This window comes from Homo sapiens, chromosome 4 (genome assembly GCF_000001405.40).
Source record: "Homo sapiens chromosome 4, GRCh38.p14 Primary Assembly".
Lineage (NCBI taxonomy): Eukaryota > Metazoa > Chordata > Mammalia > Primates > Hominidae > Homo > Homo sapiens.
Genome location: NC_000004.12, coordinates 128,120,153 through 128,147,914, shown reverse-complemented (window position 1 = coordinate 128,147,914; position 27,762 = coordinate 128,120,153). Strand labels below are relative to the sequence as shown.

Here is a 27,762-nt window from a genome sequence, read left to right as displayed (position 1 = left end):
ACTCTGTATTTTTTTCATAAATTATATCAACAGGCTATTAATAAACACATTCGTGCTTACATATTACTGTATTCTATCAGTGAAGGAGTGACTAGAAACTTTATAAATTATATTGTAATTACTGGCCATAACTCTTTTTTCTTTTTTTTACTACTGGCCATAATTCTATTATTTGATGAAGACACTTCAGAAACTCATTTGTTTTCCATTTATTGACTTTATAAGTTTTTAATTTTGAATTCTGGGTCACAAAAAGTACTCTTCAATCCACTTTCTTTGAAACACAAGATTTTCTTCAGCCACTGTTCTAGCAATAACCACATCCAGATTTCATTATTTAAGAGGCAATCTACCCACTTAGAGCACCCCATACTACTTTCTGTCCTCAACTTCTCTTTTTTACTGTTCCCCTTCATAAATCAAACCCACCAGCTACCTTCTCTAGCTAGACTACTTATTCTCTGTTTTGATTTTGTACATATATCCAAATATTGCCTAATAATCAAGGCAAAACTCTTGCATGCATCAAGGGGAGAACTTTTTGAAAGAATGTATAAAAGAGCAAATTTTTCAATCGCTGTCTTAGCAGTGAGAAAAAGGGAAAGACTCTGTCACAGAAATCTGAGCAAAGAAACCAGGCGATCTTAGAAAAAGGGCAAGAAAGAAGCCAGCCAGTTGTTTGGGGCTAACTAGTTCACACCTCAAAGCAAATATACAAAAGAGGTCTCTCGTCCCAGCTAACAAAGCTGAGAATCATAAAGAATCTGGGGACTGGAAACTCCATCACTCCTCAACACTGTTCACAAATTGCCTATCACTATGCTTAGCACCTAACAGCTACTCAAATATCTGTTAAATGAATAAATGGATAGATGAATGAATGAGTGAACCAATGGGATAGACACTGTCATCAAGGAGAATGTGTTGCAATGGAAGTTATCTTCTGTGTCCTTTATTTTTGGTCAGGAATACTAAGCATAACAGTGGGTCCTAGATCAGATGTTTTATAATATAGAATATTCGTTATTTAGGACCTAGTTTTAAGTTCTAGGCTTCTCTAGGATGCTTCCCTTGATTATGCCAACCTAAAACTCTCAAAATTCTTTCATCCAGCTATTTTTAAATAACTGTTCTGCTTTGAAATATCTTGTATAAAACCTATGTGTATGGTATGAAAATTAATACAATGAACACCACATGCTACTACCATCTATGTTAATAGGACACTGCCAATATCCTGGAAGTCCCTTTTTGCCCCTGCCCAATCCCATTCCCCTCCTTCTCTCCAGAAAAACCACCATATTGACCTTAGCAAGACCGATTTCCTAACTGTTCTTTCATTTATTACCTTTGAAAGTTTCCCTATGCAATATATTTCATTTCCCCTGTTTTGGAACTGTATATTAATAAAATCATATTTTCTGCATATATTATATGGCTAACATCCACCAAACTTTTAAAACTTCTTTACTTTGGAATTTTTCTAACATATACAAAAATAGAATAGTATAACAAAGTCCTATATACACATCACATGGTTTCAACAACTATCACCATTTTACCATTCTCTTATTTGATCTATATTGGCATTGTTTTTAAAATCATCTTCATTTCTATACCAATTATTTCACTGTTAAATACCATACCACTGTATACAAAACATATATAATACCATTTTAGACATAATGAAGCTATTAGATTTAACAATATGGATGTGTCTCATAGTCCACACATTCAAAAGTTTCTCTACAAAAGATACACACACGTACACATATAGACATAACTAGAAATGGAACTGATGTGTATTAGAAAAATGCATGTATACATATGTACATGTGGAAATGGAACTGATGCTTCTTAGGATACATAAACAATCAACTTTAATAAGTAATACTAAAGTTGGTTGTAACAATTTAATTTAACACCAATAGTGATGTGTGAATTCATGTTGCACCACTTCTTTACCAAGACTTAATATTGTCAGACTTTTTAATTTTATGATGTAATGGGTATGGTCTTCTGCTTCTGGCTATGACGGAGCAACCAATACCAGCCTGTGCCTCCTAATGTAAATAACCATAAAACTGATATGACTATGAAACAACTATTTTTAGGGATTGAACAAAAGCAATGTAAGACTGTGATCTCTGAGAGAAGAGCTCACAAGATGGGCTCCACGATCACTCCAGCTCTATTTCTGGGTACAATTTCCTAACCATGGCACAGTAAGCTTCAGCCCAAGCAAAGTATAACTGTCCTGCTGAGCTGAGAAGGTAGTGCTTTAGAGTTTAGTACAGTTGAAGCAGTGGAACCTGTGGAATAGAGCGCTGGAGACAATCTATGCAGGGAAGAGGGGGGCAATAAGTCCATGTGAGGGTCAGGCTGCTGTGTGTCCTTGGCTGGAGGCAGAGCACATATGTTCAGGATAAGACTACCTAAGACATACCCCAAAGTGACTGCTATGTGGTTAAGCTGAACAGATATACTAAAGGTCCAGTAGTGCTGGGGGATGGTGAGCATACAAGCCCAGTTAAGAATGGATACCCTTTGTAAGCTACTCATTAACCCTTTGGGCATTCATGTGTGATACAGCTTAGAAATGAAGCCATGCTACAGAATAAGGTCCACACTCGAGTCTAGAGAATAAGACCTACTCTAGACTCACTAGCAAAGCCTAATATAAAACCTCATAAGATCTAGAGGAGACACAGAATTTGGAGGTTAAGTTCTGTCAAGTTAAAGAGGCTTTCCACAGATCTAACCTAACGAAAGAGTAAAATAAGTCTACACAATTCCAAGTGTAGCCTACAACGCCCAATAAAACAAAAAACTCAACATCCTTCAGAGGAAGATGACATCTATAATCTCTACAGCATATGTATAATGAACAGTATAAAACTTTAAAAATTACTAGCAGTGAAAATAAATAGGAAAATGTAACCCATAGTCAAGGTAAAAAAGCAGTCAGTAGATCGCTCAAATGTTATCACAAGATCTCTCAAATGTCAAATGTCAGATTTTAAGACAAGGACTTCAAAGCAACTATTATAAATATATATGAAGAAACAGAAGAAAAACATGGTCTTAATAAGTGAATAGATAGGAAATCGCAGCCCAAAAAATGCAAACTATAAAAAATGGAAATTCCAGAACTGAAAAACTTTTACTTGGACGGGCCTAAAAATAGAATGAAAATGGTAGACAAAAATTAGTGAAGTTTAAGACAGAATGATAAATACAGTCCAATCTATAGAACATAAATATTCCAGAAAACAGAAAGAACCAGGCATGGCGGCTCACACCTGAAATCCCAGCTACTCAGGAGGCTGATGTGGGAAGATCACTTGAGCCTAGGATTTCACAAAAAGTCTGGGTAATATCTCAAAAAAACAAAACAAAAAAAACAGAAAGAACCTCAAGGACCTGTGAAATATTATCAAATAGTATAACATATCTATAAGTGAATTCCCAAGTAAAAAATGAGTAAGGAACATAAAAAATATTTGAAGAATTAATGACTGAAATGTGCCCAAATTTGATGAAAAACATCAAATTACTAATTCAAAAGTTTCAGTTAACCTCAAATTGGATATATTCAAAGAAAACCAAACCAAGACACATCATAGTAAAACTGCTGAAAATCAATGGTAAAGTAAAAATCTTGAAAGCCAGAGGGGAAAACAACACATTACATACAAGGGGACAAGAATACAAATAATGGCTGACTTCTGTGGTTCTCAACTGGGTTTTGATTTTGTCCACACCTCCACCATACATTTTTCATTGTCATGGGATTGGGGTGGGGGGATGCTACTGGCATCTTGTGGGTAGAGACTAGAGATAATGCTAACCATCCTATGATTTATAAGACAGCTTCTACAACAAAGAATCACCTAGTTCGAAATGTTAATAGTACTGAGGTTGAGAAACCCTGTACTACATGCTCCAAATCCTATCTAGTCTCGTATTTTCAGGAACTTAGCCCCATTATCTACTCTCAACTGTATCTTCCATTCTCTCTTTACACTGGACCGTTCCCATCACCATGTAAAATGTTCTAGTACTTTTCACTCTTTAAAAGCATATTAATATAGATACACACACACACACACACACACCCTGTGCCTTAACTTATCTATGTTCAGATACTGTCATTTCTCCAATACCTATACCAAGTTTCAATATTTGAGTGCAATATACTCATACATTTGAATGTATCATACTCATATTTCTGCTTATTAATTCATTCACACTCTCCCCCACCACTGTTCCACTGAGATATCTCAGCACATTTCTTCTCTCTTGTTTATCAAGAGGCTCAAAACTGAATTCAGTGGTCAATTATGATAGTTCTCTTCTGCCTAGATTTTCCAGTTTAATTAGCTCCACCCACCCCACCATTTTGAATTATTTAGAGATTGTATTTTCAATTGTCAGTCATGTTCACTACCAAATTCCCAGCTTCCAACATTGTTTGGTACACAGCAGACACTCAAATATATGTTAATGAATGAATCCCTGGCAGAGTCAATTTATTATAAGGCTGCCATATTTGAAATATAGTACTAACTTGTGCAAGGGATTATGGCTAGAATTTACATAATGAGGCAAAACTTGAAATCAGGTCTCTTTTTTTTGAAACGGAGTCTTGCTCTGTCACGGAGTGCAGTGGCATGATCTTGGCTCACTGCAACCTCCACCTCCCGGGTTCAAGTGATTCTCCTGCCTCAGCCTCCCGAATAGCTGAGACTACAGCTGTGTGCCACCACACCCAGCTAATTTTTACATTTTTAGTAGGGATGGGGTTTCACCATGTTGGCCAGGATGGTCTCAATCTCTTGACCTCATGATCAGCCTGCCTCGGCCTCCCAAAGTGCTGGGATTACAGGCGTGAGCCACCGTGCCTGGCCTCTAAAATCAGGTCTCTTGATTCACTTGACTCTCCAGCAGAAAGAACTTTAGTTCAAAACCATTTCTAAAGAGAGAGTGACTACAGTTAACTTGAGAGCTCACGTTGTCCATGAAAGGAAAGCGATCTGAGAAGTCTTTCAGAGTAAGGTGTTAGGAAGAGTGTAAAAGAATTTTGTATTTTGAAATATACAACATAACCCAGGCACAGTGGCTCACGCCTGTAATCCCAGGACTTTGGTAGGCCAAGGCGGGCAGATCACCTGAGGTTGGGAGTTCGAGACCAGTTTGAGAAACATGGAGAAACCCCGTCTCTACTAAAAATACAAAATTAGCCAGGTGTGGTGGCGCATGCCTGTAATCCCAGATACTCGGGGGGCTGAGGCAGAAGAATAGCTTGAACCCGGGAGGCAGAGGCTGCAGTGAGCAGAGATCGCGCCATTGAACTCCAGCCTGGGCAACAAGAGCGAAACTCCATCTCAAAAAAAAAAAAAAAGAAAGAAATATACAACATAAGAGGACTAATAATGGAACTGTGGCACCTGGAAGAACTCCACAGACTGTACTTTGATGGCACAGTTTCTATGTAAAGGCTGCCTAAGCTTCTACATTCCTTAAATTCCTGGTCTTTCCTCCATTTGTAGCATTGTTTCTGGTCCCACATAACCATCTGGTCTTTGTTCTTTCTTCATATATGCCCAGTTTTTTACAGTTTTCAAATTCTTTACAACCTCATGAGGTGGACAGGGTAAGAATGATCCCCACCTGAGATTCACAGAAGTTAGGTGTTGGTCCAGAACTGCACTCCCAGTGGAACTTGCACATAGTTGACTGCTGGTCAAGAACAGGCTTTGCCAGACAGGTTCTCAACTTGGTGCACTTCTCTAATGAGAAAAGGTCAGCTCAAGTGGTGGTGAGGAGACAGGAAGTTTACATGACTCTCCTCTTGACAAGTCAGTATGAAGCTATTGTTTCTGTCTGCCAGCCATCTCCTGATAAATGTGTACAGCATGTCCACCTTTATACCAAATACTCTGCCACAACTGAAGTTCCTTTCACTATCTGAAATAAATACAGGTAAGGACTTGCCTCATTTGTAAGGGGGAATGCTGCATAAGAGAGTGAAGTAATCAGCAAAGTCAAAGTGAATGAGAGCTATCCAGTCTTCCAAGGCTCAAGGACCCCAATAATTCCAGAATGCTGTCTGGGTCAAGGCAGAAGAAAGCCACTAGAGGTACGCTTTCTTGTTGAGAGTGTAACCTCTCAACAACGTGCTTGCTGATGGTCTCAATCATCTAACAACTGGAAATGTTCTCTCAAATACCACAAAGCTAAGTACCTCCAAGAAAAATTCTGGGAACTGATGTTTAGGCCACCAGTGAGGAGTGTTAAGTTCACCTGATAATACTATAAGTAGTACTGGACAAAACTGGTATATTTCACTACTGTAAATGCAATGAGCCTAACGATGAGATTAAGTGACTAGCAGATGTGATTCATAAGTTTCAAATTTGAAGGTTCTTCCTAAAATGTTGGAGATAAACACATTAGCATATTTGAGTTTCTACACAAGCAACTTGGGCAGAGGATAGAATACTGAGCAACTCGTTGTAACGTGTTTCTCTCTTATTCTGTAGATACAAATTAAACATTTATAGTTAGGGGAAGGTATCATGAGATAGTGGACCAGGAAATTCCTGAGCTCATGAGCCCAGACGCTAGCCAATGATACCAATGATAAGATGTAAAGGCCTATCAGCACATTTTTGGAATGGACGTCTGATCTCTACATCCTATGTTAACAAAGTCTTCAATACTGTACAGATTTATACCACTCAAGCAGACCACTGGAAAGGAAGACAAATAGCTGGACGCAAAAAAGCAGAGACAATTGGCCAGGTGCGGTGGCTCATGCCTGTAATCCCAGCACTTTGGGAGGCCGAGGCAGGTGGATCACGAGGTCAGGAGTTCAAGACCAGCCTGGCCAAGATGATGAAACTCCATCTCTACTAAAAATACAAAAATTAGCCAGGCATGGTGGTGCATGCCTGTAATCCCAGCTACTTGGGAGGCTGAGGCAGCAGAATCGCTTGAACCCGGGAGGCGGAGGTTGCAGTGAGCCGAGATCACGCCACTGCACTCTAGCCTGGGCGACAGAGCAAGACTCTGCCAAAAAAAAAAACAGAGACAATTAACCTACCTTGACTTTAGACCAAGGAACAACAATGTGGCAGCTTCAAGAAGTAAATAAATCAGCTTTGGCTTGCCTCTTTTGTACTACCCATCCCCCTTTAATTCTAGCCTTTTAGTATTGTTATGAAATATGTCTCCTAGAATAATGCATAAAATATACATGTGCAACTTATAACGCATTCATGTAACAACTACCAGAAACACAACTGTTAGTATTTTAGAAACTTCTGAGGATCCTACACCTCCCCCCAGCCCCCACAATGAACAAATTCTGACTTACGTAGTAATTATTCCAGGTTTTTCTTTATGCAACCATCTATATACGTTAAGTGTACCTAAAAAATCATGTTTCATTTGATCTGTTCTTGAGTTTTGTGGAGTCATATTGTGTATGAACCCTCACTTCTTTCATTCAGCATTGTTTTCTAGATGTATTCATAAAGATGTGTATGGCAATCATTTTTTTCTCTACTATATAGCTACTTTTCACTACTATAATGATGACATAGTCAGCTACTGATAGATACTTCAAATATTTTCAATTTGTGACTATAATGAATTATTCTGCTACATTATTACATACTGCTCCTGGTGAACACATCTAAATTCCTCCAGGGTAGTGCCAGCCAATACAAACACAATGTAATCTTAAATTTCCCATAACTACAAAAAATATACAAGATGTACATTTTAAATAATCTATTTCGACATGCAATAATTATTAAAATTTGAGATATTTTATATTCCTTTTTGTTACTAAGTCTTCAAAATCCAGTATTTTACATTTAAAACACATCCTATTTGGACTAGCCACATTTCAAGGGCTCAATAACTACATGTGGTTAATGTCTACTAAACAATGCAACTCGAGAATATATTCCTGAGTGGAAATGGTGGATCATAGCATATGGTTTACCATTTTTTATTCCCACAGATTGAGGTTCTTGCTCCAAATACTCCCAAACTCTACTTACCATCTGATGTCTTAACATTGCTAATATAAGTTTTATGAACTATTTCATTGAAATATTTTCATCTCCTTGACTAATAATGTTGAACATCTTTTCATGTTCTCAGTCATTTAGACTTCTTCTTTTGTAAAAAGTTTGTTCATGTCTTATAAGCAGTATACTGAATCTTTTGTGTGTGTGTGTGTGTGACAGTCTCACTCTGTCGCCCAGGCTGGAGTGCAATGGCACGATCTTATACTGTTTTTTTGTTTTTTTTTTTAACAGTTATACAGTTACAAGCATTTAGTAAATCTACTTTATGGATTCTTTTCTTCTATTTTAAGAGATGGGCCTCACTATATTGCCCAGGCTGGAGTGCAGTGGCCATTCACAGGTGCACACTACATCGCAGCTGTGATCATCACACACTACAGCACTGAATTTTTGGGCTCAAGGGATCCTCCTGCCTTAGCCTCTAGAATAGCTGGGACTACAGGTGCACAGCACTATGCCTGACTTACAGATATTCTTTAATGCCTAGACTGTTACTGGTTTGGGGACTTTTTATGCTTCTTAAAAAAACTGATATATGTATATTAGTTGTACATACTTCTGGGGTACATGTGCCATTTTGATACCTGTATACAATGTGTAATGATCACATCAGGGTAATGGGGATATCAATCACCTCAAATATTTTTCTTTATTTTCTTCTATTTTTTTCTTTTTTATTCAAGTGATCACAATCTTTCTTCAATCCGTTAATGTGAATTTCCTTTACTAACTTTTCTTATGTACAATTAATCCATGATCTTGAAATGAACACAACTTGGTTATCTGTTTTTTAAAAAACTGCTATATTTGGTTTACTAAAATATTGTTTAGACCTTTTTAAATTATTATTATTATTTTTTGAGAGTCTCACTCTGTCACCCGGGCTGGAGTGAAGTGGCATGATCTCGGCTCAATGCAACTGCCTCCCAGGTTCAAGCGATTCTCATGCCTCAGCCTCCCAAGTAGCTCGGACTACAGGTGCCTACCACCATGCCTGGCTAATTTTGTATTTTTAGTAGAGATAGGATTTCACCACGGTGGCCAGGCTGGTCTTGAACTCCTGACCTCAGGTAATCCACCTGGCTTGGCCTCACAAAAGGTTGGGATTACAGGCATGAGCCACCATGCCCAGCTGTTTAGCCTTTTTATACCTAGGTAATGCCTGACTCTCATTCACGTTCTCATGAATTCTAATTTCTTATGTACAGCTCAGGTACCAAAGATATGTTCTTCTCATAAGTGTTCTCCCCCACCACTACCCTTTCCACAAATATTTGACTTATTATTAGCTCTATTCTCTGGAAATATTTGTGCATTCCTGAAATTATTCATTCCAATCATAAAAAGATATGTTAATAAAATATCTATATTTGAAGTTATTATAGAGTTTGAAGATTTTTAAATTGTCATAGCACTATCTAGACTTTCTTTTCCACTCCATTTTGAAGTTATATACTTTTCTAGAAATCTGTCTTTATAAAAAAGTTCAAATTTATTGCTCTAAAATTACATTTTAAAATTTCTGTATGGTTAGTAACTATATCCCCTCTTGCATTCCATGTAAAATATCTATTTTCTTTTTTTGTTATGATAAGCTTAATTCTAGCCTTTTTGAAAAATTAAGTCCTGATATGATTAATCCTCTATTGTGCGTTAGATATAATTAATTAAATTCTGCTATTTATTTCCTTCCATATTTTTTATGGGAGTTTATATTGCTAATTCTTTTCCTAACTTCTTGAGATCAATGCTATAACAGATTCTGTTATGTTGTTCAATCCTCATATTCCCCAGAAGAGAAGATTATGCATATTCAACACTGTCACCTGCCTTTTAAGAATATATATTCCAAAATTAGCCAGGTTTGGTGGTGCATGCCTGTAGTCCCAGCTACTCAGGAGGCTGAAGCACTGCTTGAGCCCAGGAGGCGGTGGTTGCAGTGAGCTGAGATCCATGCCACTGAACTCCATCCTGGGAGACAAAGCAAAACTCTGTCACCAACCCCCCTAAAAAAAAAATATATATATATATATATATATGTATACACACACGTTTCTGTATATATATAATGTGTGTATGTATATATATATTCCCCATTCAAATACAAAGAAATGATAAATGTTTGAGGTGATAGATATATAAATTACCCTAATTTGATCATTACACATTGTATGCATGTATCAAAATATCACATGTATCCCATAAATATATACAATTATTATGTATCACTAAAAAATAAATACCAAATGGAAGGAAAAAATATATATTCCCCAGCCTATATAGGCTTGGCCATATAGTCAATGGAATATAAAAAATGCACATAAAGCACATATAAGCAGCAACATCAAATATAACTAAGATTTGGCTCTGCCTCTTGTTCTTCCCCTCTGCCACATGAATAAGCATGTAATGTATAGGAACTGCTGTTTTGGAATTAATCCCCAAATGAGAAGACAATTGGAGAAGAACCAAATATACAGAGCTGTAATAGCTGACCCACAGCCAATATCAGGTAACATGAATGAGATGCTTTTGCTCTGTCTTTGAGAATTGGGGGAGTTTTTGTTTTTTGTTTTTTTTTGAGATGGACTCTTGCTCTGTCGCCCAGGTTGAAGTGCAGTGGCACAATCTCTGCTCACTGCAACCTGTCGGGGGAGTTTTTTTAATTAAAGTCAAGATAATATTGGTAATTGGACTATTAATTTCAAGTGTTTTTCCTAATATTTGCATTTAAGCCTATTGCCTTAGCTGCACTTTTTAACTTTAGTTACCATTCAATTCATATTTTCTAATTTCCATTAATTTCTTCTTTGAATGCTGAGTTGTTTAATTTAAAAACATATCATTGTTTTGGGGAATATGGGAATTTATTACGTTCACTTATATTATTATTATTAATCACTAGCTTGACCAGGTGCAGTGTGGCATGCCTATAATCCCAACACTTTGGGAGGGCAAGGCCATAGAATCTCTTGAGGCCAGGAGTTCAAGACCAGCCAGGCAACATAGTGAGACCTCATCTCTACAAAAATATTTAAAAATTAACAAATAAAATCACCAGTTTAATTCCACTAATAATGTGCTTTGTGTAATATAAATGCCTTGGAATTCACTTTATATACCAGTGGAGGTCTAAGTACCATGTATATACTAAAAAAGAACAATGCTCTGCAATTCTTAGGCAAAACGTTTCTGAAATTACTTTTTATTGTCTGATTATGCCTTGTTTACTTAGAGAGTAAATCACTTAGAGAGTAAATTACAACAGTGGATTTGTTTTACCAACTTTTGTTTCATATATTTGAAGCTTTAATATTAAATACATTGAATTTGAAGTTATCTCCTCTGATAAACTTCACTTTTTATCATTATATGACACTTTCACACTAGTAATGCTTTTTATCTCTAAGTCAACTTTGTAAGTCTTCCATCTGCTACTAATATGTAAGTTTTGTTTTTTGTTTTTTGTTTTGTTTTTTTGTTTTTTTGTTTTTCTTGAGACTGTTATTTGTTTTTTAAGATGGAGTCTAGCTCTGTCTCCCAGACTGAAGTACGATGGCGCAATCTCAGCTCACTGCCACCTCCACTTCCTGGGCTCAAGCAATTCTCCTACCTCAGCCTCCCAAGTAGCTGGGATTACAGGCGTGCACCACCACACCCAGCTAATTTTTGTATTTTTAGAAGAGATGGGGTTTTGCCATGTTGGCCAGGCTGGTCTCGAACTCCTGACCTCAGGTGATCTGCCCACCTTGGCCTCCGAAAGTGGTGGGATTACAGGTCTGAGCCACCGCACCTGGCCTATGTGTATTAAGTTTTCTTTTGGTTATTTTTTTTTTAATTTGGTATGTAGTTGGATTTTTAAAATAATTTTTAATAATGTTAAAAAACACATCACAAAATTTACGATCTTAACCATTTTAAAGTGTGCAATTCAGTAGTGTTAAATATATTCACACTGCTGTGCAATAGATCTCCAAAACTTTCATCTAGCAAAAATAAAACCCTATACCCATTAAGCAACACTTTCCCAGTTTCTCTCCTCCCTTCAGCTCCTGGCAACTACCTTCTTACTTTGTTTCTATAAACTTCACCACTTTAGTTAGCTATCTCCTATAAGTGGAAACATACTTCGACTGAGTCTTTTTGTGACTGAATATTTCCCTTAGCATAAAGTCCTCAAGGTTCATCCGTGTTGCAGCAATATTTCCATCCTTTCTAAGGTGGAATAATACTCCATTGTTATGTATATACTACATTTTGTTTATCCATTCCTCCACTGAAAGACATTTGGCTTACTCCCACCTCTTGGGTTATTGTGAATAATGCTGCTCTGAACATGGACACGCAAATACCTCTTAGAGATCCTGCCTTCATTTTTTTGGATATATGCCTAGAATTGGTATTGCTGGATAACATGATATTTCTATCCTTAATTTTTTGAGAAACTGCCATCCTGTATTCCATAAGGGCTGCACCATTTTACATTCACATGAGAGTTCGCAAGGGTCTAATTTCTCCAAATCCTTGTTAACAACTATTTTCTGTGTGTTTTTTTAAATGGTAACCATCCTAATCAGTGTGAGGTGATAATCCTCTGATTTTTTTATTTGCATTTCTATTCTGAGTAGTGACTTCGAGCATCTTTTCAAATGTTTGTTATCCTTTTTATTTATTTATTTATTTATTTATTTATTTATTTATTTATTTATTTTGAGATGAAGTCTCAGTCACCCAGGCTAGAGTGCAGTGGTGCGATCTCAGCTCACCACAACCCCCACCTCCGGGGTTCAAGCGATTCCCCTGCCTCAGCCTCCTGAATGGCTGGGATTACAGGCATGCACCACCAACCCTAATTTTTTGTATTTTTAGTAGAGATGGAGTTTCGCCATGTTGGCCAGGCTGGTCTTAAACTCCTGACCTCAAGTGATTGACCCACCTCAGCCTCCTAAAGTGCTGGGATTACAGGCATGAGCCATTGCGCCCAGCCTTATTAGCCATTTTCATATCACCTTTAGAGAACTATCTACACAAGTCTTCTGTCCATTTTTAAAATCAGGTTATATTTTTTGTTGATTTGTAGGAGTTCTTTATATACTCAGGATACTAATCCCTTATCAGATATATAATTTGCAAATATTTTTCTGCATTCCATAGGTTGCCTACTGTTAACTGTGTCCTTTCATACACATAAATTTTTAATTTTCAAGAATTCCATTTGTCTACATTTGTTCTGTAACATGTGATTTTAGTGTGATATCCAAGAAACCACTGCCAAATCCAAGATCATGAAGGCCTTCCCCAAAGGCTTTCTTCTAAATGTTCTATAATTTTATGTAATATGTTTAAGTCTTTAATCTAGGTTAATTAATCTTCATTTATGGTATAAGGTAAAGATCTAACTTCCTTCTTTTACATGTGGATACCCAATTTTCCCAATATCATTTGTTGAAGAGATTATCCTTTCTCCATTGAGTGGTCTTGATACACTTGTCAAAAAAATCATTTACCCAGCCAGCTTCAGTAGCTCACACCTGTAATCCCAATACTTTGCAAGGCCAAGATGGAAGGATTGCTTAAGGCCAGGAGTTTGAAACCAGGTATAACAAGACCCTGCCTCCACACACACAAAAAAAATTCATTAATTACCCAGGTGTGGCAGTGTGAGCCTGTAGTCCCAACTACTCTGGAGGCTGAGGTGAGAGGATTGCATGAGCCCAGGAGGTCAAGACTGCAGTGAGCCATGATGATGCCACCATACTCCAGACTGGGCAAAAGAGTGAGAAACTGTCTTAAAAAAAAAAAAAAAAAAATTGGGCTGGGCACAGTGGCCCACGCCTGTAATCCCAGCACTTTGGGAGGCTGAGACAGGTGGATCACTTCAGGTCAGGAGTTCAAGACCAGCCTGGTCAACATGGTGAAACCCCCTTTCTACTAAAAATACAAACAATGGTCGGGCATGGTGGTGCAGGCCTGTAGTCCCAGCTACTCGAGAGGCTGAGGCAGGAGAATCACTTGAACCTGGGAGGCGGAGGTTGCAGTGAGCTGAGATCGCACCACTGCACTCTAGCCTGGGCAACAAGAGCGAAACTCTGTCTCAAAAAAGAAAAAAAAATCATTTAACCATATACTTAAGGGTTTATTTCTGGACTGTCTATTCAATTGGTCCGTATGTCTGTCTTTATGACAGTACCACAAGGTTTTGATTACTGTAACAAGCAGGAAGTCTGAAGCTTCCAAATTTCTTCTTTTTCAATAATAATGTTTTGACTATTCAAGGCCCCATGAGATTCCACGTGAATTTTTTGGGTGGCTTTTTCTAACTGTGCAAAAAATGCCATTGGGATTTTCATAGGCATTGCACTGAAGCTGTAGATACTTTGGATAGTACTGACATGTTAATAATATTAAGTCATCCATGAACATGAGATGACTTTCCATTTATTTGTTGTTCATAACAGCTTTATTAATGTGTAATTCACATGTAGTACAATTCACTGAAGTATACAATTCAATTGTTTTTCATATATTCAGAGTTTCACAACCATTACCACAATCAACTATAGAACATTTTTATCACCTCCAAAAGAAACCTGGTAACCATTAACAGTCACTCCACATTTCCTCCTAGCCACTCACCAGTACTGGTCTGTAGCCTGTTAGGAACCACGGTTGAGTGGTGGGTGGGCAAGTGAGCAAAGCTTCATCTGTATTTACAGCTGCTCCCTATCGCTCTCATTACTGCCTGAGCTCCACCGTCTGCCAGATCAGTGGCAGCATTAGATTCTCATAGGAGCATGAACCCTATTGTGAACTGCAAATGCGAGGAATCTAGGTTGCATGATCCTCATGAGAATCTAATGCTTGATGATCTGTCATTGTCTCCCATCACCCCCAGATGGGACCATCTAGTTGCAGAAAAACAAGCTTAGGGCTCCTGCTGATTCTACATTATGATAAATTGCACAATTATTTCATTATATATTATAATGAATAACAGAAATAAAGTGCACAATAAATGTAATGTGCTTAAATTATTCCAAAACCATGCCCCCCAGTCCACAGAAAAACTGTCTTCCATAAAATTAGTCTCTGGTATCAAAAAGGTTGGGGACCGCTGCTCTACAATATGTAGTCTTTTATGATGGCTCCTTTCACATACTGTCTTCATAATGCTTCATTATGAAGTATTAGTCCTTCATTTCTCTTTCTCTGAAGCAGGTTAGAGAAAAAAGATCTTAAGACAAAAAATAAAAATTTAAAAATTGGCCGGGCACAGTGGCTCACCCCTGTAATCTCAGCACTTTTGGAGACTGATGCAGGCAGATCACTTGAGGTCAGGAGTTTGAGACCAGCCTGGCCAACATGGTGAAATTCCGTCTCTACCAAAAAATACAAAAATTAGCCAAGCGTGGTGGGGCGTGCCTGTAATCCCAGCTACTTGGGAGGCTGAGGCAGGAGAATCACTTGAACCCGAGAGACAGAGGTTGCAGTGAGCCAAGATCGCGCCACTGCACTCCAGCCAGGGCGACAGAGTAAGACTCTGTCTCAAAACACAATAATAATAATCAAAAACAAATAGTACTTCATTTCTTTTGATTGCCAAATACTCTATTGTATGGATATACCACATTCATCCAAACATCAGTTAATAAAAATCTGAGTTCTGTTCATTTTTTGAAATGCTGAAATGAACATTCATGTACAAGAACATGACATCTGTGTGGACAAATGTCTTTGTTTCTTTGGATTACATACATAAAAGTGGAATTGCTAGGTTACATGGTAACCCTATGTTTAGCCTTTTGAAAACTGCCAGACTGTATTCCAAAGCAGATGCACCATTTTACATTCCCAGCAGCAGAGTATAAGGGTTCCAATTTCTCCCTTTCCTCACACTTGTCAGTATATCTGTCTTCTTTATTATAGTTATCCTTTTGGGTATAACATGGTATAACAACGATTTTATTTCAATTCCCCTGGTGGCTAATGATGTTAAGCAACTTTTCAAGTGCTTATTGGCCCCATGTATATCTTCTTTGAAGAAATGTCTACTCAAATTCTCTGCCCATTTTAATTTATGTATTATTTTTTAGAGACAGGGACTTGCTTGATTGCTCAGGCTGGAGTGCAGTGGCACAATCACAGCTCACTGTAACCTCAAACTCCTGGGCTCACACAATCCTCCTGCCTCAACCTCTGGAGTAGCTGGGAATACAGACACACACCACCACACCTGCCTAGTTTATATCTTTACGTTTTTTAGAGACAGGGTCTCACTAAGTTGCCCAGGCTGGCCTTGAACTCTTGTTTACCCATTTTAAAATTAGGTTATTTGTCTTATTGATTTGTAAGAGCTCTTTGCATATTACAAATATTTTTCAACACACACAGACTGGTAAAAACTTTTTTTAAAGAAAAATTTTTAGAAGAAAATAAGCTCTTTGCCCCTCCCTCCTTTGATTTGCAAATATTTTCTCCTAACCTGTTATCTTTCTTTAGGTATTTTTAGAAGTTTTAGGTTCACAGCAAAACCAAGCAGAAAGTACAGAGTATACCATAGACCCTCTGCACCCAAACACATACAACCTCCCACACTATCATCCTGCACTAGAGTGATACATTAGTTACAATAGATGAAAACACTGACAGTATTATCAAAATTGTCCTGTACATTTTCTATGGGTTTTGAGAAGTGTACAATGACATGTATCGTCATCAGAACATCATAGAAAATACTGTCACTGCCCTAAAAAACCTGTGCTCTGTCCATTCATCTCTTCCCCTTCCAACCATTGGCAATCACTGATCTTTTTACTGTTACTATAGTTTTGCCCTTTCCAGAATGCCACGTAGTTGGAATCATACAGTATGTAGTCTTTTCAAATAGGCTTTTTTCACCCAATATAAACTCAGTCTTTGTATGAATCCATGTCTTTTCACAGCTTGATAGCTCATGCATTTTTGAGCTCTGAGTAAGTCCATTGTCTGAATGTACCACAGCTTGTTTATCCATCCACCTATTCAAAGACACCTTGGGTTTTTCCAAGTTTTGACAATTTATGGATAAGCTGCTATAAACATCCACGTTCAGGTTATTGTGTGGCTACACATCTCAACTCATTTGAGTAAATTTGCTAGATCCTTTGGTAAGAGTTTAGTTTAGTTCAGTTTTATACGAAATTGTCAAACTACCTTCCAAAGAAGCTGTACTGTTTTGCATTGCCACCAGGAATGAATGAGATTTCCTAATGCTCCACATCCTTGCAAGCATTTGGTTATTGTTTTGGATTTTGGCACTCCTAATGAATCTACAGTAGTATCTCATTGTTGTTTTTACTTGCAGCTCCCTAATGATATTTGATGTTGAGCATCTTTTCATATGCATATTTGCTGTTTATCTTCTTTGGTGAAGTGTCAGCTCAGGTCTTTCAAGTTTTTTCTTTTTTTCTTCAATAAACTGGTCTATCGACCATTTTTTAGTGAACCATTTTTAAATTGGGTTCTGTTTTCTTAGTCTTAATAGTTCTTTGTATATTTTGGATAATAGCCCTCTATCAAATTTGTCATTTGTAAATATTTTCTAGCAGTCAATGGCTTCTCTCCTTTTTTAAAAAAATTTTTCGTAGAGACAGTCTCACTATGTTGCCCAGGCTGGTCTCAAACTCGTGGTCTCAAGCAATCCTCCCACTTCAGCCTCCCAAAGTACTGAGATTATAGGCATGAGCCACTCACTGCACCTGGCCTTCCTCATTCTCTTGACAGTATCTTTCACTGGGCAGAAGTTCTGAATTTTAAAGAATTCTAGCTTATTATTTCTTTCATGGATTGTTTTGGTATTGAATCTAAAAAGTCATGATAAGCCCAAGGTCATCTAGATTTTCTCTTAGATCATCTTCTAGGACGTTTATGGTTTTGTCTTTTACATTTTGGACGATGGTCCGTCCACTTTAATTTTTCTGAAGGGTGAAGATTCATTTTTTTTTTTTCACCTCAATGCTCAGCTGTTCTAGCACCATTTGTGGAAAAGACTTTTCTCTATTGTATTGCCTTTGCTTCTTTGTCAAGCATCAGTTGACTGCATCTGTGTGGGTCTATTTCTGCACTTTCCATTCTGTTCTATTGATTTAGTTGTCTATTCTTTCACCAGTACCGTACTGCCTTCATTACTGCAGCTTTACAGTAAATCTTGAAGTCAGGTAGTGTCGTCTTCCAATTTTCAATGTTGTATTAGCTATTCTGGGTTTTTTAGGTGTTTTTTGCCTCTGGAGATATCCACAAAATCATTTGCTGGGATTTTGATTGGGTATACTAAATGCATCTCAATTTAACAAGACCATAAACTGCACAGAATCTATGGTTATGTTGGAAAGAACTGACATGACATTATTGAGTCTTCCTATCTATAATATGAACAAGGAATGTTTCTCGATTTATTTACTTATTCCTTTTTTTTTTTTTTTTGAGACGGAGTCTTGCTCTGTCGCCCAGGCTGCAGTGTGTGACCTCGGCTCACTGCACCCTCCGCCTTCCGGGTTCAATCTGTTCTCCTGTCTCAGCCTCTCCAGTAGCTGGGACTACAGGCACGCGCCACCACGCACGGCTGAATTTTTTTTTTTTTTTTTTTTTTTTTTTTTTTTTTTTTTTTGAGACAGAGTCTCGCTCTGTCGCCCAGGATGGAGAGCAGTGGCGCGATCTTGGCTCACTGCAAGCTCCGCCTCCCGGGTTCACGCCATTCTCCTGCCTCAACCTCCTGAGTAGCTGGGACTACAGGCGCCCACCATCACGCCTGGCTAATTTTTTTGTATTTTTAATAGAGACGCGGTTTCACCATGTTAGCCAGGGTGGTCTCGATCTCCTGACCTCGTGATCTGCCCACCTCGTCCTCCCAAAGTGCTGGGATTACAGGCGTGAGCCACTGCGCCCAGCCCCTTTTTCTTTCATCAGGGTTTTGTAGTAATCCTCAGATAGATCCTGTACATATTTTGTCAGATTTATAAACTATTTCATGTATTTGGGTGCCAATGTAAATTGTATTGTGTTTTTTTGTACAAACAGCCCCAGGCTTATGATAGTTTGACTTATGGTTTTGCCTTTACAATGTTGTGAAAGCAAGAGGCACTTACTAGAAGAAACTGTACTTCAAATTTTTAAATTCTCCCAGGCCAGCAATACGTGGTATATTTTCTTGCAATGCAGGGCAGCAGCAGTGAGCCATTCTGTTTTTTACTTTCAGTATAATAATTAATACATTATATAAGCTATTAATACTTTATTATAAAATATGCCTTGTGTTTAAATGATTTTGCCCAACTAAGGCTAACATAAGTGCTCTGAGCATGTTTAAGGTAGGCTAGGCTAAGCTATGATGTGTGGTAGGTTGGGTGTACTAAATACATTTCAGTTTAACAGTGTATTTTCAATTTATGATGAGTTTATAAGCATGTAACCCCAACATAATTTGAGGAACATCTGTACTGGCTTTTCACTTTCTGTATAGTGTCCTTTGAGATTCAAAATTTTTAAATTTTGATGTCCAATTTACCTGTTTTTATTGTTTGTTGCTTGTGCTATTAGTGTCATATGAAAAACCACCATCAAATCCAAGGTCATGAAGATTTTACACATTTTATTCTAAGAGTTTTATACTTTTTCCTCTTAAATTTATGAATTTAACTCAAGTTAATTTTGATACATGATGTAAGATAGGGAGGGACCCAACTTCCTTCTTTTGTTTGTAGATATCAAGTTGACAGAGTCCCAGTTGTTGAAACAACTATTCTTTCCATACTGAATGGTCTAGGCACATTTGTTGCAAAGTCAGTTGAAAATAGACATGTTTATTTCTGGGCTCTGAATTTTATTCCATTGATCTATATGTTCATCCTTATGACAGCACCACTATCTTGATTACTGCAGCTTTGTAGTAAGTTTTGAAATCATAAAATATGAGTCCTTCAATTTTGTTTTTTGTTTGTTTTGCGAGTTTTCACGCTTGTTGCCCAGGATGGATTGCAATGGCGCAATTTCGGCTCACTGCAACCTCCACCTCCCGGGGTTCAAGCAATTCCCCTGCCTCAGCCTCCCAAGTAGCTGGGATTATAGGCACACACCACCATGCCCGGCTAATTTTGTATTTTTAGTAGAGACAGGGTTTCACCATGTTGGTCAGGCTGGTCTCCAACTCCTGACCTCAGGTAATACACCCACCTCGGCCTCCCGAAGTGCTGGGATTACAGGCGTGAGCCACCGTGCCCGGCCGTAATTTTGTTATTTTTTAAGAGTGTTTTGACTACTATGGATTCCTGAAATTTCCAAATGAACTTAGATCACCTTGTCAATTAAATGTGTATCCTTCAAACTGCAATTTGCAAACTTTAATAACTTTAATCAGTACCCTTTGTCCAGATATGAAGTTACATTTAAATATTAGATTCATTTACTGCTCTCTCTCCCAGTTTGTGTTGTTATAGTAAATCTATAAGACATAATAATTGCTTTATACAGTTAATATTCACTTAGGTTTATTCATGTATTTATTACTTGTTTTGCTCTGCAGTCCTTTCTGTGTCTCTGATAGGTAAAATCACTTTTATTCTACCCTTTGGGACTTTCTTTCATGAGACTCTGCTGGTGGCCATTTCTCATATTCTACACTCTTACTGAAAGATATTTTTGCAAGGCCTACAATTATCAGTTGATAGTTATTTTCCCTTGGCAAATTAAAGCTATCATTCCAATGTCTATTGGTTGTCACTGTTGGGAAACTAGCTATCAGCTGTCTAATGATTCTTCTTTCTTGAAAGTAATCTCTTTTTTTTCTGGCTAAACTCTGACACCTCTCCTCAGTTCTGTAGAGGTCCTAATTGCCTCTTATAATAATGACTTGGCCCCATTCTCTCTACCCTTTCATTCTGGAACTCTGACTAAATGTATATTTTAGACCTTCTCCGTTATCCTATATTCCAAGTTTCTTGCTTACCTTTTTTTAAAAAAAAAACAAAAACAAATAAAAAGCTTTATAATAAAATCTACTAGATGTTAAATTACAAAACTTGATTAAAACTTACCAACCAATAGCAAAGACTGTAGAAAATCATTCTGTATCCTCTTTTCATATATTCTATTTCTTTGCTACTCTGTGGAAATTTCTGAATAAATTCTTGGGAACAGTCTTCCAATTGACTAATTCTCTAATTCTGTCTAATCTGTTGCTAATCCCTTCAATTGATTTGGTTCTTAATTTTAATCATAATTGTTTTTACTTCCAGTTCTATCGTTATTCTTTAGGATTTCTTCTTCTCTACACATATTTTTATTTCCTTAAACACAGTAAGCCTAGCTACTGCATATTTTGTTTAATAATCTGACTATCTAAATTATTTTAAGGGGCCAGGCATGGTGGCTCACGCCTGTAATCCCAGCACTTTCGGAAGCCGAGGTAAGCAGATCACTTGAGGTCAGGAGTTCGAGACCAGCCTGGCCAACGTGGTGAAACCCCATCTCTACAAAAAACATAAAAAATTAGCCAGGTGTGATGGCACACGCCTGTAATCCCAGCTACTTTGGAGGCTGAGGCAGGAGAATCACTTGAACCTGGGAGGCGGAGGTTGCAGTGAGCTGAGATGGTGCCACTGCACTCCAGCCTGGGTGACGGAGAGAGACTCCATCTCAAAAAAAAAAAAAAAAAAAAAAAAAAGATTATTTTAAGGTATGTTTCTGCTGCCTGTTACTTTTGCTCATTCTCACATGCGAGATCTCACTTTCTTGTTAGATTATTCACTTTATGTGCTGCTAACTTTCCTTGCAATATAATGTGAATAAAGGAGGTCTAAGATAAAGGTGAATATTTTCATACACAAAAAATCTTTATTTTCATATGCTAGGTGTCTGGGAAACTAAGAGACCACAATCACATCAAATTTACAACTAGTGCTTCCTTTAGTCACCCAGAGTATGAACTTGGGTTGCATGAATACAACTTCTAGCCCAATTTTTTCCTCTCTATTCTGCTCAGCACAACCAGAAAAACATTCTGTTTTGTTTTTGTTTTTGTTTTTTGTTTTTTGAGTTAGAGTCTTGTTCTGTCACAAGGCTGGAATGCATTGACGTGATCTCCACTCACTGCAACCTCCACCTCCCGGGTTCAAGTGATTCTCCTGCCTTCAGCCTCCCGAGTAGCTGGGACTACAGGCACGCGCCACCATGTCCAGCTAATTTTTGTATTTTTAGTAGAGATGGGGTTTCATCATGTTGGCCAGATGGTCTCAATCTCTTGACCTCGTGATCCACCCACATCGGCCTCCCGAAGTGCTGGGATTACAGGCGTGAGCCACTGCGCCAGCCAGAAAAATATTCTTTACAGAGTCCCTTGGGGAGCAGGTAGGAAGCAAGTTTAGTTCTTCCACTGTAAGTGTATTCTTTTGGGGTATCTTTTTTCTCCCATAGATTTTTGGGGAACAGGTGGTATTTGGTTACACGAGTAAGTTATTTAGTAGTGATCTGTGAGATCTTGGTGCACTTTTGGGTACCAATTAAATGGGAAAAGGAATCCTATGGGAATCCACAGTTTTGAATGGTCCCTGAGTTTATGGTTTTTACCCGTTTTGGGTAGCTTCTACAAAGGGTCCTAAGGGTAAAACTAAGTTTCAGTACTTCACTTCTGTATAGTTTTATCCTGATAATAACTTACCTAGCATATCTTCAAAGATTTTAAGCAGATATTTTCTTACCTATAAGCCTATCATTTTAGTAGTCTTCAGCAGTAAATATATGCCAAAAACAGAATAAAGCCTTTACTCACTCTTTGGTCCAGTTCAACATAGCTTCTGGATCCACCAAAACTCTTTTTGCAGAGGTCAAAAATGAGTACTAAACTGCCCTATCAATTTGGCATACTTTTCATTCCTATCTAATTCAACCTGTAAAGTTGCTGACACACCTGATTATTTTCTTCTCTTAGAGCCAGCTTTTGACTTCCACAACAACACACTTTCCTATACAACTCCTATATAATCATTCCTCAAGGCTCAGATGAGACAGGTCTTCTCACTTCTATATTTCCTCTGCCACCTGTTTGTCTTGGCCGACCAATTCATCTTCTATATGGACAGCCTGTTAACTGGATTTCTTCTGCCCACTCTTGTCCCTGTACAATCCATTCTGTGCCAAAACAACCAGAGTGATCTATTAAAAATAAAAATTAGATGTCACACTGCCTTTGCAAAACCTAAGGTACTGGATTTGAACTTTAGATAAACTCCACATTATTTAACATGGCGCATAAATGATGACTCCTGCCTATTCATCTATAATTAACATTTTATATAATACCGTAGGCAAACTGACCTTTTTTCCAGTTCCTCAAATACACCAAAATCTTTTCTGCCAGATCCTTGACATTTACTGTTCCCTTTTCCTGGAATACTGTTTCCCTACTCTTTGCTTGGTTATGTCCTACTTCCACTTCAGATTTCACTATTACTGACTTTCTCAGAGGCCTTCCCTGACTACTCAATGAAATAGCATCCTGTTTTTTTCTTTTAGAGTATTTATTGTAATTTGTGATTAAGTACTTATTGTGGGTTTATTTTTAAGTCTGTTCCCCCAGTTAGCTGTAGGTTCTAGGCATGTAGAAACCCTATTTGTTACCTTCTCACTCTGTGCCCAGTTTCTAAGCAGTGTCTGGCACATAGTAAGCACTCAATGAGTATATGTTAAATGACTGATTTCTCTCCCTTTAAGCAGACCCACAGGAAAAGTACAAGTCTAATGAGATACTACATGTAGAAGACAGAATCAGAACCAAAGGGGATGAGTTAAATGATGGGAATGTACATAAGAATCAGGTCAAAGTAAGACATATCTGCAATTATAATGGTTAAAGTTATATAAGCCAAGATTACTTTCCGTTAATATTTAATGAATAAGATCAGCACATGCCTCAAGAACTCAATACATGGCTTTTAATTATTGTCTATAATTTAAGGAAATAATCACCTACAAATAGGATGTTTCTCAAGTTGGCTTACAAATTTGTTACTTGGCAGACTGAAAACATTTCCCACAGAACAAATATTATACACAATGGTTGGGTTCCTTTGGTTAATGCATAATGTTTACTCCATAATTTATTTACCCACAAACATGAATTGAACATTTCTTTGTGCCAGAAACTATTCTAACACTAGAAATACAATAGTAATGAACAAATAGAAAAAAATCCTATTGTCATTGGTATTACATCCATAGTTTTTTCTCCAAGAGAATAAAAGTAAGTAAAATATATAGAATTATAGATAATGATATATGCTATGGTGAAAAACAAAGCTGGGTAAAGGGATAGAGAATGGGGGAAGGATAATTTTAACTGATTATTAGTAGAATGTACTAGTATCTCTGTTCTAAAAGGATTTAAGATAGGTATTACTTACCGAACCTAAGTATTACAAATAAAATAGCAATGCTTACACTAGGAAAGACTTTCAACTGAGAAGCATTATAAAAACACACTTCCTTTCCCACAGCAGTAGGACAGGCAGAGAACTGCTAAGGCTCTAAGTCACGTAACAAGCTATCATAGCCTGAGGCAGGTCCTCCAAGAAGGCAGTGGTTACAGAAGGCTAAAAGCAGTACTGGGGATTCCAGGAAGAAAAGAAATGAGGAGCCAAGAAGGCTAGCACACTTCTTGTTGATGATATGAAGCCCCACCGACAGGCAGTCCCCTCTACTCAGCCACTAATTGGCTAGCTTTTCTTCCTACAACTTTATTTCCAACCAAGATCAGTTTCCTATTTGGCATATAATGTTATATAATTTTCCCTTATTATACCCTCTACTGAAAACAAATATTTAACTATTGGGGCTTTTCTGATAAACTTAATAGCAGAAAAAGATTCCTTTTATCCCCATATCTGTACCATTATAATTCATATTGAAGGAATGCAGATACCTGATAAACTATTCTGGTTCTCTATTTTACCTTAATAACTAGGATAGGAACCAGGATCTGGGATGAAATGCAAGAAGTTAAAAAAAATTAGAACAAGATTGTAAAAAGTAACCCTAGCACCACAGTAATGACTAGACCAAGAGAGATAATCATCCAGTTTAGTCATTTATAGTTTGTCCACAACCATTTCCACTACCTTAGATCATGCACCATAGACTAAGTGGGGAAAACAGAAAGAGGCAAGAAGAGTGCTCTCTAAAGCCACTGGCTCATACAGCTGCGGTGAGAGCCAGGTAAGCAATGAGCATATAAATTAAGCCTGTCCACAGTAACTTGTTTTTATTCTTTCATACGAGAAAGGGCGTTCTCAGTATTGTCACCTAAAACAAAAACAAAAAAAAACAAAACAAAAAAAAAAAAAAACAAGGGTATAAGTCAGTGAGTACTAATTTTCTTTTGTAATTACAGTATTCATCACGCTGTTACTTTCATAAAATAAAACGATTCCTCAGGTGGTAATTATCAGGTATATTTCCAGGAATTTTTCAAGTTAAATACAATGTATTTATATTCAACATTTCATAAAATAGAGCCTCAAGTTTGAGAAAATATAAACAGCAACATACAATCAAAACAAAGCATCAGTAGAAAGATGTTGGCCAGAAACAATTACCTTTATGGCTGTGTGTTTGTTTTCATCTTCTTCCATCCATAGATCCTGTTCATAATAGTATAAGCCATCATTGATAACTTTAGCAAGTTCAGATGTGATTTTTGCCCGAGACATGTGGGTGCCTGTTCGATCTCCTCCAGGATGTTTTTTCACATAAGGTGGTGTCTGAGTTACAATCAAAATCTTGTTTAAGTCTTGGTCATCAATTTCATAATCTGAATCATTATCAGACCAATCAGTAAATGTGTTTTTTCGTCCTATTTGTTCAATCTCTTCATCAAACAAAAAATCAAGTTCTTCTTGTTCTGGTTCTTCTGAAGAACATAGCTGATTTAATGACCCTTCAGGGACAGACACTGATTCCTGAAGGAAGAAATTGGTAATTTATATAAAAAACTTTCTATCATTTTTAAATTAAATGTCATAAAACAGTGTTACAAGTAAGTAATATCAAGCTTTTATGCTCAATTGCTAGTTTAACAGCCAAACTGTAAAAGAAAATCAAGTGAGTATTATTTTGGCCCAGTAAATTTAAGACTAAAGAAAAACACAAAGTTGAATAAAGAAAGGATTACATTAAAGACTCTTTTAGAGTTGGAATAGTCTTAATCATCCATTACATTGCACTGATTCATTTTACTGATTAAAACAAAGGCCTAGAGATATGAAAGTATTTGCCTATGATTTCATAATTATAAACAGAACCAATTATCTGGTTGTGGATTGCTGTATTCCCAGCTACTCGGGAGGCTGAGGCAGGAGAATCGTTTGAACCTGGGAGGCAGGGAGGTTGCAGTGAGCCAAGATCGCGCCATTGCGCTAGAGCCTGGGCGACAAGAGCGAAACTCTGTCTCAAAAAATAAATAGATAGATAGATAGATAGACAGATAGATAGAATCAAGGTCTTCTGATTTTCAGAGTCAATGGTCTTCCCTATTCCGAACCTTTTTACCTCACAATGATAATAACATAGTTTCTGAGCTAATCCCTCTACTCTATCCTCATCCCCATTCTACATGGCCCAGTTTTCATGTCAAATTCATGCTAATATTCAGCAAATGTTAAAATGTCTACCCCTCAGGCCAGGTGCAGTGGCTCACACCTATAATCCCAGCACTTTGGGACGCTGAGGCGGGTGGATCACAAGGTCAGGAGTTCAAGACCAGCCTGGCCAACATGGTGAAACCCCGTCTCTACTAAAAATACAAAAATTAGCCAGGCGTGGTGGCACGCACCTGTAGTCCCAGCTACTCGGGAGGCTGAGGCAGGAGAATTGCTTGAACCTGGGAGCCAGAGGTTGCAGTGAGCCGAGATCACGCCACTGGACTCCAGCCTGGGAGACAGAGCGAGACTCTGTCTGAAGAAAAAAAAAAAAAAAAAAAAAATTGTCTACCCCTTCTATAGAACTTAAAACAGCTAGGCCAGGTGCAGTGGCTCACATCTGTAATCCCAACACTTTGGGAGGCCAAGATGGGCAGATCACCTGAGGCCAGGAGTTCAAGACCTGCCTGGCCAACATGGTGAGACCCCATCTCTACTAAAAATGCAAAAATTACCCAGGTATAGTGGCACACACCTGTAGTCCTAGCTACTCGGGAGGCTGAGACAGGAGAATCGCTTGAACCCTGGAGGCGGAGGCTTGAACCCTGGAGGCGGAGGCTGCAGTGAGCTGAGATTGTGCCACTGTACTCCAGCCTGGGTGACAGAGCGAGACCCCATCTCAAAAAAAAAAAAAAGAACTTAAAACAGTTGTTGGTTTACATTAAAAGTCTAAGCTTTTAGATCCTAGATCTTATAACATGTAAACTAGTTTAAAACTCCCAACAGAAGGAAGTAGTTTCTACTTGGTGTTACATTCATTTTTCGTCCTCTGGCCTATTTTACCCTTCAGTTCATGCTAACTTCCTATGTCTAGGAAAAAAACAATTCCTCCCTTTCAAAATTCCCAATAATGTAGATCCATATTCATTTAGTCGATAACTATCTGAGTGCTTCCTCTGAGCCAGGCACTGTTCTAGGCAGGGACAGACAGCAAT

General features: G+C 37.8%; 1 protein-coding gene across 50 annotated transcripts in view; it reads right to left on the bottom strand.

The window, feature by feature from the left end:
- Positions 1 to 27,762, bottom strand: part of LARP1B (La ribonucleoprotein 1B) — a 162,138-nt gene that overhangs the window by 75,012 nt on the left and 59,364 nt on the right. For 44 of the 50 annotated variants that reach the window (XR_938753.3, XR_938754.3, NR_146772.2 and 41 more), the window contains one exon: positions 25,727 to 26,089. The exons of 2 other annotated variants lie outside the window; for them this stretch is intronic. Coding sequence is in view for 44 of the 48 variants with exons in the window: in XM_017008340.2 (XP_016863829.1) it covers positions 25,727 to 26,089 (363 nt within the window). In the remaining 4 variants the exon portion in view is untranslated. Of the gene's footprint in view, positions 1 to 22,426; positions 23,289 to 24,045; positions 25,434 to 25,561; positions 26,090 to 27,762 lie in introns of those variants that run through there. 4 more of the 50 variants (XM_017008348.2, XM_047415886.1, XM_047415881.1 and 1 more) reach the window with 3 other exon arrangements.